The sequence below is a fragment of the Homo sapiens genome, chromosome 16 (genome assembly GCF_000001405.40).
Source record: "Homo sapiens chromosome 16, GRCh38.p14 Primary Assembly".
NCBI classification, from domain to species: domain Eukaryota; kingdom Metazoa; phylum Chordata; class Mammalia; order Primates; family Hominidae; genus Homo; species Homo sapiens.
In genome coordinates, this window is record NC_000016.10 from 72,240,272 (window position 1) to 72,256,082 (window position 15,811).

General features: G+C 39.0%; 1 protein-coding gene across 1 annotated transcript in view; it reads right to left on the reverse strand.

Moving 5' to 3' along the window:
* The window catches only part of PMFBP1 (polyamine modulated factor 1 binding protein 1), a 133,293-nt gene extending 123,615 nt beyond the window's left edge, over window positions 1-9,678 (reverse strand). The window contains exons 1-2 of the mRNA XM_047434734.1: window positions 9,505-9,678; window positions 8,892-8,965 (exon numbers count right to left, since the gene is read on the reverse strand). The gene's annotated coding sequence lies outside the window, so the exon portion shown is untranslated. The remainder of the gene's footprint in view (window positions 1-8,891; window positions 8,966-9,504) is intronic.
* Between the last annotated feature and the right edge of the window lie 6,133 nt (window positions 9,679-15,811).

The window sequence follows — 15,811 nt, forward strand, 5'->3', positions numbered from 1 at the left end:
GCAGAGCTTAGTCAGAATCTCAACGACTACATACTTGAATATGACCAAATTATTCTAATGTTTCAGATGAAAATATATAGACAGAAATAAAGCATTGTGATTTTTGCAAGCAGCGCTTGCTTTCTTGGCTAATTCCAAACGTCTCTACTAAAAGTAGGACAATTCTGCCTTCTAATAGAATTCCTGACTAGGCAGATCATTTTGTTAAGATAGATGTTCGTTAGCATTTTGGTTTCCTTAATTTCATACCATATTCTATTTTATTCCTTTGTATCATGGTTGAAAGTGCATATGATTCTTATCTCTTCCTTAGGTTTTTATTTTTTCATTGTGACATCTGTGCTTGAATCATGGTGCAGCCAAGCTGTAGAGGCTTAATTCTTTTAATGGGAAGACAGCATGCTGTGGCAGAAAGCATGCCAGCCTGGCATCTGCTGTTCTCCGGCTGAGTGTCCTAGGACAAGTCACTTCTCTGTTATGTCAGTACAATTAGGGCTGTACCAAAAGATCTCTAAGGGGTCCTTTCCATCTCAAATATTCTTCATATTTTGAATCTTTTTATATGTAAATATGACAGTAGTAACACAGTAACTCTGTTATCTTTCCTTATTTTGCAATTGTGTGTTGGGTGGTGTGTGTGTGAGAGAGAGAGAGAGAGAGACAGGGAGAGCGTGCAAGAGAGAGAGAGAGAGAGTGGCAAAGGTGCAGGTGGAGGGGGTTAAGGGGAGGAGGGACTACTTAACCTTGGTAGACAATATGAAGGTGTAATAATCTGTAAACATAACTTATGTTAAAGAAGATATGTAGGTATTTAAATACCTCTTGGAGGAATATGTAAGTACTCATCATGGTTACAAAATAGCACTCTCAGAAATGGCTCTCCTCCCTCCTCCAGGACAGATAAAGCACCTGCAGGCTCTCACCGACCACTGAAACAGCCATGAAAACCCTCATGCTTTTATACAGCAGGACAAAGCTTTGAAGCTTTGGCTTTAAATCACTCCAGCATCTCCCAGCTGTAATGAGGATAGCATTTCCCTAGTCAAAACATCCTGGTTCTATTTATAGGTGTTCACTTCTCTGAATAATAAACAAAAGTAGCAGGCTATTCTCATATTATGTCATTTTCCTTCAGCTACCCTACTATTTAATATAATGCCAATAATTAAAAAAATTTCAAAGCCATCATACCTAACAGTGGGTTCAGTTAATTACCTTAGAGAAGACACTGACTGCCATATATTTGAACAGCCAAAGCCTTGCAAGAATATTTGATTGGCCTTTGTTTACCGAGGGTTTCCAGTATCTCCCTCTCTACTTCATGGGGGTGGGTTCAGTTCTTTAAATGATTCCAGAAATAACCAGTCTCCCTAGTTGAAGGAAGGCTGTTTTCATCTACTAAGTAACATCCCTTCGCTTGTGTTGCTTTAAATAAGGATGGCAGACAATTCAGCATCCATGGAGACAGCCACAGTTCACTTCTATTCTTTTTCAAATGTAAGTTTGTATTAGGTTATTTAATGGACCACAATATATTCAGTAGGTACAGAATTCATACCCCCAAATGGCTGGTGTTTAATTGCATCCCTCCAGTCTGTTTTAACTAAGACATTTCCTCCTGTGCATATAATCTTCATTATCATAGAAGTTATTTTTAATTTATAATTAACATAGTCTCCTTCTCATTATGTATGCCTTGATCGACTTGGACCCTCCGGACACATCTTGTCTGGCACGGTGCTGGTTGTGTCCTGCAGTTCTCTCAATGTGCAGTAGGTGTCTATCTTAGCCTTCCCTTCATCCTTCCTTCTCTTCTCCTCCCTGACACCGTGATATAGTGCATAATTCCAAAATGGCAGCTTTTTGAAAATTCACCTTGATTATCAGACATTAAAAGTGACTCATCCCGCAGTGACTGTCTGGCAGAAGGGATGGGATCAGACAGCAAGACAATGAGGGGACTGGGCGCATTAGCGCACTAGATTACAGAGCCCATCAAAAATACCTTTGTTCTGTCAAAGATCCAATCATTTACTAGTTGTGTTCTGCAGAGGAGAAAGAATGAGAGGGAAAAATACACCAAACAAATAAACAAAAAAATACATTTATGAATTTAAAACCTCCTTAGTTCTCTTTATTCTAAGAGTAAAGGAAAGTATCTAATTAACCTTCTCAGGAGAAGAAAAGATGGGGATTGTGCTTGTGAGACAAAAATCTATAGAACCTTTTCTTTTTCACTAGCTATCAAAATTTCTACATTAGCTTCTGTCCTTTGGGTCTTGGTAAGAGGGAAATTGTCAAGTTTTCAGGGTTTGGTCTTGATTACACTGCACTCAGCCTGATTTATGGCAGAATATTTAGAAGACAAACTGTTTCCGAACTAGAACGTTCATTTTCATTAAAAGCAATGCTTTTGATTTCTATCTTGTCACAATATAATGCTAACCAAGAAATGCGTGATGGATGAAAGGGGAAAATATGTGTAAGGGCTATTATTGAGAAATACTTTATAAGCATCTAAACTGGCCCATATAAAAAGGCAGTAAGAATCTTTGAAAAGAGAGAGCACATGAATTCTTGCATCAAGCATGTGTGTGTTTGTGTGCAAAGGGGAGGAGGGAACTGGAAAAGAAGGGAGGAGAGCGACGAAGGCGTTCATATTGAGCCCTGGGTGGGTATAACAGGGTGAGATGTGTTGTATCGTCAGCATGACTGCAAGCCTGGTGAGCTTGTGATTCTCCAAGGAGACAAAATATCCAAATGGGAGGTTGGTGCCTGACTTTTGTCTTTTTATCATTTTCATCATTTGCCTATGAACTCAGAGGAGCATTTTATCAGTCATGGAAAATGCCCCCAAGGGGCCCAGATCAAAGGCAGGCTTTGAATTGTGTACTTAGGTGGATCTTCCTGCCAAAGACATTAATGCGATTAAAACACAAATTCCATAAACAATTATTTTCCATCTGTTTAGCAATAATAATAGTGATGTTATGTGCTGTCAATGGTGTCCTTCCTTACAATGAGGCACCAAGTGAATGCAAATACCCTTCTGCACGTGGATGCTGCAGCACTTTGGGAGGATTTGGGAGGTTTCATCTGCCAGCAGGACAGGAGAGTGGCCACTGTCACCATGCAGGGATCTCTGGAAAAGAATGGCTGTATTTTAACTGTCATTTGCAAATAGATTCATTAAAACAACTCATTGCATTCCACCAATTGTGCAGTGTACTTGTATACTGGTGTAAATTGGAGATTTGTCATTTCTTGCCTCTGCCTCCATGTTTATTTCTACTGTCAGGTACAGAAAATGTACCCCTCTTTTTGCCCCTCTTAATTATCCCCAGTATCAATAACTCTGTTCCTTTATTGATGGAGGAAGGGAGATTCAGCAGGACTGCCAGTCCAAGTGGCTCAGTCACAGTTACACATTCAGAGACCTACTCATGTTTGTTTGGATTCACAACACATACTCTGAGTAGGGAGAAAGAGAATCTATAAGCTTTAAAGATCTCTGCCTAAACCAGACCAAGAGATTAAAGGGGAGGGCAAAGGGGAGGGTCCAGACTGATTTCCGCACACCAGCACTCGTAACACAGGGATAGATTCCTGAAAGAGGGACTGACCTGCACGAGAGTTTTCATCAGTGGAATTTTAATGAGCCCTAAAGGTTAGCCTTCGACTTCGTTAACAAACAGCTCTAGAGATAATTTCCAATTTTCAGTGTTTATAGAATAGTGGTTCCTTGGTCATAATGAAATTCTGAGACTGTCTAGAGCCTATTCTGCATGTCCAGCTGAGGCTGAAACACAAACCCTCAAAAACAATTAAACGTGTGCTCAAAATCAAATGCAGAAGAAATAAAAAGAGGAAGGCATTTTGCAAATTAAAGTGATCACATTAACCTCCTTTGATGAAATCGGTTCAGTCAAATGAAAAATACTTATTAAAAAAACAAACCCTGCACAGATATTTTAGCTATTGAGGGTAATGATTATTCTAATATTGAAATGGACACAGACAAGAAAAAAAAGAGAGATAATAAACAAAAGAGGAAAGCTTCATTCCCAGTAGCTAGAGACCAGAGTCCCTGTTATGTGTAAGTGGGTTGTAAATGTGTAGAAAAGAATATAGATGCAAATATTGCCAAAATTGACACTAAAGGATAAAGGATAGGTCAGTTTGTTGAAAATACGTCCCCTCTCCTTCTTCTCCCCTCTCCCTGCTTTCTCAGGTTCTACTGGGTCCTTGAAGAATTGCCATAATTGCACCAGAAAGGAAACAAGTATGACTGAGATTCCAGCCACATAAAACAAGAGCAATGGGTGGTTAAGACAAAGGGCCACATCTAAAGATTTCTTTTCCTCCAAAACTGGGTGGAAAATCCTTTCACTTTCTCCAAAAGGATGACCAAATCTCCTACTGGTATGGGGACCAACAGAAGATGCTTGAGCTGTAAATGCTGGGAGAAATATTCTTTAGTTTATTAAAGTTAGGCTAAATTTTATTTCTTCCAGTGCAACAAATCCCTTTCACTCCCCAGGCTAGCCACTTCCCTTCTTGATTCACAGAAGAATGGAAGGGGTTAAAAAACAAAACAAAAACCAGAGCTGGCCTGAAACTCTGCCACTCCAAGGGTGCAAGAGGTTAGGGAGCAAGGGGCCCCGCTGCGTGATGCTCTGGTCAGTTTTGGGCACGCAAGAGAGCATGGGGGGCATGAGAGTCGGGCAACTGACTTGGGTTCCAGTTCCAGTTTTGCATTTACTCCTTACTCCCCGTGTAATCCTGGTGGGGGCAGTCAATTCCTCAGAGTTGCAGTTTTCTCCTAGGGCTAAAGGGATTAATGAGTTCAGGTAATGTTAGCACTGGGGGGGATCTCAGGGATTATTTAATCAATTCTCCTCATTTTATAGACAGAAAACTAAATAACAATAACAGCAGTTATAATAATAAAAACAATTATAACTAATATTTTTGAGCATTTAACATGTGCTAGGCACTATTCTAAGCACTTTACAAGTATTCTATTATCTCAACTACCCTGGTTGGTAGATAGTACTGCTACTTCCATTTTACAGGTGGGGGAACTGAGATGCCGTGAGGTTCAATATCCAAGGTGGTACAGCTGGTAAATGGTAAAGCTGGGCTTCAAACCCAGATGGCCTGGCTACAGAGCCCATGCTCTTAAACGCTGTAGTTTAGTAAACCATGAATTCCCCATGGTTTGCACAGGGGTTGCACTCTTTTCAGAAAAGGGTGCACTGCCTGAATTCGTGCTGCATATGGTCCTGAAAACACAGACCCTACAGAGACATGTTTTCAGAATCATGGCAATGGCTGACGATGGCTAATCTGTTCCCTCCAGGTTCCCCGAGTTCATGGCTTCTCTCCAGCCAAATTTTCTCCCAGCCTGCTGTCACAGGTGTAGTGCAGTGCTCCCAGGATGCCCCGGTCTGTACGGTGCCCTTCCCAAGTCACACTGCCACTGCTCTTTAACTCTCTGCTGATGGCTTCTCCCTCTCTCTCTCCTTCACTCTCTCTCTCCAACCATTTCCTTGAACTTCACTTGAGCTGATATTACACTTGTATTTGAACACCCAGCATGACACTCTCTATTTCTTTGCTCCAGCACCAGTGCTTGACCATCTTTTGTTAGCCATTATGGATCAAAACTGCTTCTCGGGACAAAAATAAATGGCAGAAAGAGAGATCATGGCAGAATAAACACCACCACTGCAAAAGACAGTCTACTCTGGATAGTGTGGGAGCATACTCATTGGGTAAGAGTGGTTGCAGAATGGTGCATTATGCGCACTGGGGAGGGAGGAGATTACAGTTTGCCAGATTCACTCTCATCGGCTAATAGCACCCAGTGCCTAAGAAAAGTACATTAACAGTATATGGTAACAGACAGTTGCTGAAAGGACAATAGCATTAATATTAAATTACTGTTGCATAGAGAAGTGATAAATAGGTGATGTGTGTTCTAAGCTCAAAGAGGCCTGGTGACTTGCCTCAAGTTGACAAGTGGTAGTAGGTGGCAGAATCCTACTACAGCCTAGGTCCTCTATTTCTCAGGACACTGGTTTGCTGTTGGATAACATCAGACTCCTCAGGCTACTGTGAGGAACAGCTGAAATGAAAGCGCCATATGACAAATTCCAGACACCTGGACAAGGCACATAGGTCCTTTGTGATCTGGCCTCACCTGCCATTTCAGTCACGTATTTCGTGCCTTAATGTCCTCACACCTGCTGTCCCTTCTGCTTGAGGTGACAACTTCCCCAGTCCCCTCTCATCACTCCTCTTTCTCCAGCTGTAAACACCTGTTCATCTTTCAAGATCTGGCCACAAGGTTACTTTCTCTGTGAGGCTTCCTGTCTTCTCAGTATTTCCTGTAGTACACATGGTTAGAACGCTCGCTGTATAGGATAATGATTGACTGGTTATTATTCTCTCTCCCCTTCTTAACGAGGAAGCTTATTGAGGGCAGAGACTATATTTATTTCTCTTTTTATCTTCAGTGCCTAGCAAAGGGCATGGACCATCTTATTTACTCTAAATATACAAGGAAGGAAGAAAGAGAGGGAGAGAGGGAAGGAATATCCTCCTGAAACTATAAAGCAGTATAGAAATAAAAAGTTTTACTAACAAGAGAAAGATGCCCACTGTTTGATACCCTCCTACTGTTCAGGAATGAGCTTACTGTTTTCACAAGCAAAATGCTCTGACACAAAATGGGGCAGGCGACGATGAAAGCAGGAAGCTGACTTCTTACTCCCCATTTACCTGTCCGATGAAGAGGTACACAATTTCCCCAGGATAGAAGGAATGCCCTTCATTAATGCCATTTGCTAGCAGTAATTTAGTTAACTGAATAATCACACAAGGTAAAGAACACAGAGACTTAAGGATCTCTGTCTAATGCATGATACTAAGATATTTTATAAGGTGGCATGTAGTTAAGTGTGCTTAAATGCAATCACAGAGCATTTTCTTTGGTCATTTTCATCTGGAGGTTTTAGAAAAACCAGGAGAGAAAAGCAGCATCCTCAGGGATTTTTCCTTAGAGTACAATTTTTACAAAAAGCTGAGTGTACAACTTGCAAAATAATAAGCTTCAGTGATAACACAAGCTTCAGCTACAATTATCACAAAGAGCAAGTCTGCTGCCCAAGCTTCTAACTTATCCTTGTGACTACAGAACATCCCAAAATGTCACATTCAAGTTGAAGTGACTGCAGCCAATTAGGTAATTTCCACCAAATTGGGTCCATTAATACTTGGACATTATCTTGAGGGTGAAATAGGATTCAGTGACAAGGTGCAATGTGGCTTGTGAAATATTAGTTTTGGACAATCACAAATCAGGATCCAAGGGTATGTTAAATTATTCGGCATTCTTGACCTCATTATTAAGTGACTTCATATGGGTTTTTGCTCATATTCATATAATCTTGGGATACAAAGAGCTTAATTTTTGTTTCCTTTCCCCAGCCATTTCCCTTTTTATGTATCAGAGATTTTATGTATATCTCTTTATTTTTATCCTGTTTAATTTTAGAATTTAAAGGGCAATGGCTATGTTTTTGTTTGGGGAACACACAAGGAGGACACTTACTCATATGATGACACATATCAGAAACATGAATATTAGTTAGAAATTTGGTTTGCAGATTTTTCTTTGCTAACACACTACTTCAGGTAACAGAACAATTTTTCCAACCAAACATCTGCCTCGGTCTGCCAAGTATCGAACAGAAAGCTGTGATTTGTAACACATGGTCTTATAAATGAGTCAGAACTTCAAGGCCAAGTCGGCTTCTGGAAGTGTTCTAAAGTGATAGCAACAATATTATTTTCCAAAATAATGGGAGAAAGCCATAAAAACACTCCAGGAAGATCGTGTACCAAAGATGTTTGTTGATTTTGTTTTGTTCCAAAGTTGTTTGGAACAATGATTAGTTGGCGCTGACAGGATTTCTACAACTAGGAAGTGTGTTGGACACTTAAAACTTTAAATCAGTGTTCCAGTAAGTTCTAAAGAACTTTAACCAATTGAACAATTATCCTAAGAATATGACTACCAGCTGTCGCTTAAACTTACAAGTTAAAACACTTTATATCATTGGGGCAAAGCAATGATATGGACCTGGGATAGGAAAATTACCAGAGAATGTGACTGAATCAGTGAATATCTGCCAAAAAAAAATCTCTTTGAGATGAACAAAAGAAATTAGGTAGTATTAGGCTACTCATAGGACAACTGGCCAGAGCACAGTTTCTTCTTTGAGATTTGTGTGTTTTATAATTTTGTTAATGATTCAGACCAAAACAAATACTTTGAAAGTAGAAACACATAATTCCATTTCAGCATATCCCAACCAGATGGGATCAGAACAGGTGTGATCATTTTAGAGTGTTCTTCTCCATAAATCAACTTCTGGTTCATTCCAGAGTGGGGCTGTCAGCTTTTAGGCGCCCAATGAAGTTGAGAATTTTCAGCAAACTAAACACAGCCATTAAAATAATGTTTGAATTAGTTTTAATCACAGTGACCTAGATTCTCATGCTCCCCAGGACCTCACTGTATCTCTTCCATGTGTGAGATCCATGGGAGGGCTGCACATGGGGAAGACTCACCGAGTGCAGAGCAGGAAGAATTTAGGTCAATTACCTTTTGAAGTGTGATCCCTTTAAACAGCTACTCAAGGTAGTATCTTGCTAACAGAGCTGTATATAATAAAAGTGACCTGTGCTGTTTCTTTAAATACTGCTTTTTGGTTGTAAGCGATCAAAGTATTAAATTTGTGTAAGAAAAAAAAAAAGATCAAGAGAAGTTTCATCGATGTTCTTTCTGGAATCTATTAAGAAGGATTAGATATGTGGTTTACCTCTCTTAAAGTCTGGGCTTGAAAGTAGGTGCCTCCATTTCAGTGTCTTCCAGCTGAGCTTTTGTTTTCTCTGCCTGTAAGTTGAGTAGAGAAGAAGTTGAGATGTCACCTCAGGACTTTTGATAATATATTAAAAAATAAAAAATCGTGAAGCAGGCGAATGTATGGGGAGGAGTATTTACTATGGATCCATTCCCCAAAGTTTGAAAAAAAAAAAAAGTATTGTATGTGTGAATGTGTGTTTCCTTTCATTAGCTCTCCAGGAAACAAGAATTTTTTTCTCAAATTGTAAAGAAAAATTTGTTAGTTTTTTTTAACCTTTAAAAAGTAGATACCATTTTGATATGTTTATTCTTTCATTCAATAATTATTTACTGGCACCTACTGTATGTCAGGCACTTTACACGTTCTTGGGAAGATAACAGTGACCTTGATCTGATGTCTGAGTTCGGGGGAAAGAAATCATGCATCAGGCCGGGTGCAGTGTCTCACGCCTGTAATCCCAACACGTTGAGAGGCTTAGGCAGGTGAATTACGAGGTCAGGAGATTGAGACCATCCTGGCTGACATGGTGAAACCCCGTCTCTACTAAAAATACAAAAAAAAAAAATACCTGGGCGTGGTGGCGGGCACCTGTAGTCCCAGTTGCTCAGGAGGCTCAGGCAGGAGAATCGTTTGAACCCGGGAGGCAGAGGTTGCACTGAGCCAAGATCACACCACTGCACTCCAGCCTGGGTGACACAGCGAGACTCCATCGCAAAAAAAAAAAAAAAAAAAAAAAAGAAAGAAATCATGCATCAATCAATAGTTGTTGGAATCTTAGAAAGGAATGCTTAGAAAAATGGAGTAAATGGACATATTTAAAATATGAACACCATTTTATTTTTAACATTTCAAAAATGCAGGATAATTTAAAAACCAACATCTTTGCCAATTCTACTCCTAAGCAAAAATCACTATGAGCAATTTGCTGTATGTCCTTTTGGATTTCTGTCTGTTTACAAACACATATACAAAACAATTTCTTAAGAACATGTGAGCAGAGTTAATCCTGATTTGTAACTTTTTCTTCTATTTCAGGGTGTTTCATGAGCATCTCTTCCAGTCAGTAAGTGTGCTGATTTACCCCATTCTTCCCAATGACTATGGAGTATTCCATCTATGGCTCCCCAATATTATCATGGATGGCAATATGGAATGGCAGGACAGTATTAACCAAAGGCAGAAGATAATTCTGCATTTCAGTTGTTGGTTTATAAATATTGTCCTATCCTGTCATAGAGAAGGCTACCAATCTTTCCTGACAAGTCATTGAACAAACAGTTTCATGATTTTTTTAAATGTATTTTTTAGCATGAATCAAAAAGTGTCTTTTAATTAGTAAAATACTTTCATTGCTTTTAGTTTTATGGTAGGGATTCAAAAAAAGCAAACAGACTCAAAGCAACATAATGAATATAGGGGAAACCTGTAGATTTTCAAAGAAAATGATATAAAAATTATAAACATTACTGAGAAAGTTGATTGCATGGTTACAAAGTAATACACATTTGCTGTAAAAAATGAAAAATATGCAGACATGTAAATAGAGTATCAGTGTACAAATGGGTGGGTGGATTTTGGAAACATTTTTTAAAAAGAAAATAAAAATACCCTGAATCCTATGATTCAGAAATAACAACTTCCTCAACAACTTTTCTTCTAGTATATATGTGCACACACGTACACGTTGAAAAAAGCCTGAAAGGAGATAGGTAGCTTGCACATTGATGTATGTCTGTATTGAACACTTTATTGGGTTTCCTTTATTATACAGTTTTCCTTTATTATACAGTGAGTCAACCAAAAACACACATTTTTTAATAAAGTAAAAAAAAGTGGGTTCATTTCAGGCCTACAAAGAATGACACCAAGGAAATGATAAGAACCTCTTTTCTTTATCTTTTTTTGAGATGGAGTCGCACTCTGTTGTCCAGGATGGAGTGCACTGGCGCTATCTCGGCTCACTGCAACCTCTGCCTCCCGGGTTCAACTGATTCTCCTGCCTCAGCCTCCCGAGTAGCTGGGATCACAGGCACCTGCCACCACGCCCAGCTAATTTTTTGTATTTTTAGTAGAGACGGGGTTTCACCATGTTGGCCAGGCTGGTCTCGAACTCCTGACCTCATGATTCACCCGCCTTGGCCTCCCAAAGTGGTGGGATTACAGGCATGAGCCACCACGCCCGGCCAAGAGCCTCTTTTCTATCATTGCCTTTCTTCCAACAGGCTTATGGGTTATTAGAAAGTTTAAGATGGCTTTCAAAGATGAATTAGTTCCACATTGAATTTCAACAAATATCCAACAGTGAAAGCAAAGCACAAAATCCAGTAAGCCTGATGACTGTTATGAAATTCTGAACTGTAACCATCTAGAAATATAATCCAAGCTCAGAGTTATTTTGCATCCTCCAAGACTGCAAATGCCACGTACAGCATGGATCTTGTCTTTAGGCCTAGGAGGCTTTAAGAAGACAGGGGAGGAATGAGCTCCTTGCCTTCCCCTGCAGCTCCAGTGTCCATGCTGGCCAGCACCAGGGCTTCACTCACCCTGCTTGTGGGATGGCTAGAAGAGCTGACAGTCCCCTTGCTAGGTAACTAGAAGCATGTCACATCTAGCCTTTGTATACACAGGACCCCTGGTCATCTTCTCACAGCCCCAAACACAACAGAGACCCTCACGGATATGAGACAAATAATATCCTGCATACTCTGATCCTTAACCATGACCCTCAATAACATAAACACCAGCCAGGTAGTTGAGGGGAGGGTTTCTTCCCATTGTTTGGTGAAAGGAGAAAGTCAGAGAGCAGAAGGAGAGATTCAGATTAATAATGTTTAAAATGAAAATCTCTAGAAGCTCATTACTGGGGCCATTGAGGAAAGAGCACAGCTTTGGAATCAATTGAGTCTTTCACTTATTCAGTCAACACTTAATGACCCCATACTATGTGCTAGGCACAGTTCTAGTAGCTAAGGAACATCAAGAACAAAACAGACAAAAATCGATGTCTTGGTGGAGCATACATTCTAGCAAGAGGAGCAGACAATAAAAATAGCATTAGAGGGTGATAAATGCTACAGGAAAAGAAAACAGATTGGGGTAAGAATGATTGGGAGTGGGGAGTGGGTTGTAGGTTGTGGTTTTAAATAGGATGATCAGAAGTCTCACTAAGAAGGTGACATTGGAGCAAAGACCTGAGAAGGTGAGGGAATACATCATTTAGACATGTGGGGAAGGGGTTTCAGGCTGAAGGAACAGCCAGTGCAAAGGCCCTGAGGTGGGAGTAGGCTTGCAGGGTTGGAGGATAGTGAAGAAGAGATAATAGGAATTGAGATCCAAGACATAAGGTGTATGGAGTGGGCGTGCACGCAAGACCTTAAAAATTACAAGGACCTTAAACATTATACGGACCTTAGCTTTCCACTTAGGTTTGAATCCTTGTACCATCATTTGACAATAGTCACAGGTTGAGTGACTTTCTGAATTCCTATTTTGTTGTCTGTAATACGGTAATCTCATTAACTGGGCACAATTATTTTGAGGATTAAAATGGGATCATGTCTGTAAAATACCAAGTACAATGTCTGACATGTGGTATGTTTGCAACAAATGTTGTTTCCCATATTCCTCTAGGTCCAGTTGTGTGCATTTTATACCTATTTTATAAATGCATACATAAACATAGAAAGGTAATGTGACTGACCAGTAGCTACCCAGAGGTAGGAATCCAAGTAGCTTTTAACTCTGTAAATAAATAACAATTTTTTTCCCAAAACAATAAATGCTGAAGTATCATCAATAAAACTAATAATTGTGGAAGGTGGATTGTTAGGGATTCAAGTTGACTAAGGAATGAAATCTTGGATATAGCGACCATTAGTGAGGACTGATATATTAGTAGAAATGTACAGGCAAATCTCATTATTTCCCATTTCCATTGAGTGTCTATTTCAAGGTTAGAAAAAAAAATGTTATCTATCCTTCTGGGGCACATCTGAACATTCAAACAATACCAGATAGAATGGTCAGCTTGCAAACTTTTGAAAACACCATTGCCTGCAGGGTTGAAAAGGCCTCTGTTAGATATCAATCTGCTCTGCGTTAACTTTTTTTATATGATGGCAGCAGTTTTTCTCTTATGTGGTGGTATCATTAGAGTTTCACTTAAGTTCACAAAAATCATTTTCTGGCTAAGTTTCCACTCAAACCCAGTTGCTATAGAAGTTGGACATCAGTGGGGGAGGCAATTAGTTAGCTAGTTATTATGACTTACTTAGTACATTTTTAGCAGAAGGAAAAATGACAAAAACCTAAAATAATTCTATACAAATACATGAGTGACTCTTTTTACCCAGAGCTCATTAGTACAGTGGACAGTATTTCAAAGAAGCCACCAATACCTATAACACCCTCTCCTGTTGTATGATTATGCAGTTGTCATCAGCTGATAGGGCCAACAGGAACCATTTTAACAAAAATTATTCGGTACTTACTGTTGGAGGGCTTGAAACTACGGGAAGAACCGAAGATGGATTCTTCTCCGTAGGTAAATAGCAACAGTACATAAGTTCTTGCCAAGACAATTAGTTATACCACCTTCGGATATTCTGGTGGTCAAATGCCCTTTTAGAAGCTTTAAAAAATATTTGCCAGGGAATTTCTCCAGGGGAACACCTGTCTCGACTATCTTACAAAATATTCTCTGCTCTTAAGCACTAATGAATTATTTGGCCTCTAACTCTAGTCTGGAGTTTACCAAAAATCTGCACTACCTCTGTTTAATTGGATAAGGGGTTTTCCTGACAAATGTGTCTTAAGATTTTTATACCCTTTATTAAATGCCCAATAAACATTCATTGAAAGAATAGAAAAAAAGTCTCGCTTCCATTTCTTTCTACTTGCCCTGTTACAAATCAAAAATTGGCCACACACACACATAGATTTACTTATTATATGTATATACTAAATTATATGTGTAAATGTAGAAGTATATACCAATTATATGTGTATACCAAAGTATACATAGATATATGATGAAGTGTGACTATGTTTTTTTTTAACATACCAGAATTTTTAGCTCCAAATGAGAGTTGCCCTTTCTGAAGTCATGAGATGACCCATTTATTTCACGGATACAAGTGAAAATTTTGGGAACTCTTCTCTGGACAGTTCTCTCATCACCTCTTGCCTTTATTGTGAATATTATCATTGGTGGCAAATATTTACCACTTCAAAGTAGATTTCTAAAAATAGCTAAATGTCATTTGGGATCAAACTTCTAAAATAAGTAAGTCAACAAGCTGGATAATATTATTTGTTACTTAAAAATATTGGCTAGGACCATAAACTAATGAGTTAATACTATTTACAAGTATTGTTTACAACCTGCTTTAAAAAATAAAACAGCTTTATTGAAAATTAATTCACATACCATCTAATCCACCCATTTAAAGTGTACAATTCAATGGTTTTTAGTATAGGCACAGATATGCGCAACCATTACTACAGGCAACTTAAAAATATTTTCATCACCATAGAAAGAAACCCTACATCCTTTAGCCATTATGTCCCTACTTTTCACAACCTCCTCTTTCCTCAACCCCGCCCTAAGCAACCACTAATCTACTTTCTATAGATTTGCCTATTCTAGACATTTCATATAAACAGAACTATATAATAGGTGGTACTTTGTGACTGACTTCTTAGCAGAATGGTTTCAAGGTACATTAATTTTGTAGCATGTAGCAATCCTTTTAAAATCATTTCATTGTATGTATGTACCACATTTTGTTCATCCATTCATCTGTTGAAGGGCATACGGGTTGCTCCAAATGTCTTTTGGTTATTGTGAATAGTTCTGATATGAACATTCATTTACAAGTCCTTGTTTGAGCACCTGTTTTCAATACTTTTGTGCATATACCTAACAGTGGAATTGCTGCGGCATATGGTGATTCTATATTTACCTTTTTAAAGAACCACCAAACTGTTTTTCACAGCAGCTATACCATTTTACATTACACCAGCAATGTATGAGGGTTCTAATTTCTCCATATCTTCACAAACACCTATTATTTTTCATTTAAAAAATGTGGCCATCCTACTGGATGTAAAGTGGTATTTCATGGTTTTGACTTGCATTTCCCTAATGATTAATGATGTTAAGCATGTTTTCATGTGCTCGTTGGCCATTTGTATATCCTTTTTGTTATTAAAAGATTTCATAAAATTTTAATTGAGAAGGAGTTTTGCCATGTTGCCCAGGCTGGTCTCAAACTCCTAGGCTCAAGTAATCCACCCACCTTGGCCTCCTAAAGTGCTGTGATTACAGGCAAGAGCCACAGCGCCCAGCCCCATTTGTAGATTGTCTTTGGAAAAAATGTCTGTTCAAGTCCTTTGCCTACTTTTAGATTTTTAATGGGCACTTCCAGAAGAGGAGACCCAAATGTTTTCAACAGGAGCAGCCATATTGGAACAAATGCCTAGCCTCCTGGCATCACTAGGTATTAAAGTGTAATACTTCTTTGACCATAAGAGTAAAGAACAAGCAATCACATTAGTTTAAGGTGATTATTTGTCCTGCACTAAGTAATACCACATCCATGGGTTTTTACAACAAATATCTACTCGTGTACTGCAAACTCATAGGCCATATGTGTTTTGTATACCATAAGACTTACTAAATAACTTTAGAGGATACAGAATTTCCTTGAAGAAGGGATTTAGAGGCAGTGATCCAGTTGGCAGGAGGAACACCCTGAAGCTGTGCTTGCATAGCAATTATGTATGACTGAGAACACATGATTCATGTACAACAAAGAATAGCAGAAAGTTGATGGAGGTCATGGAGACCTAAAGCCTCCCCTTTTCCCAGCCCC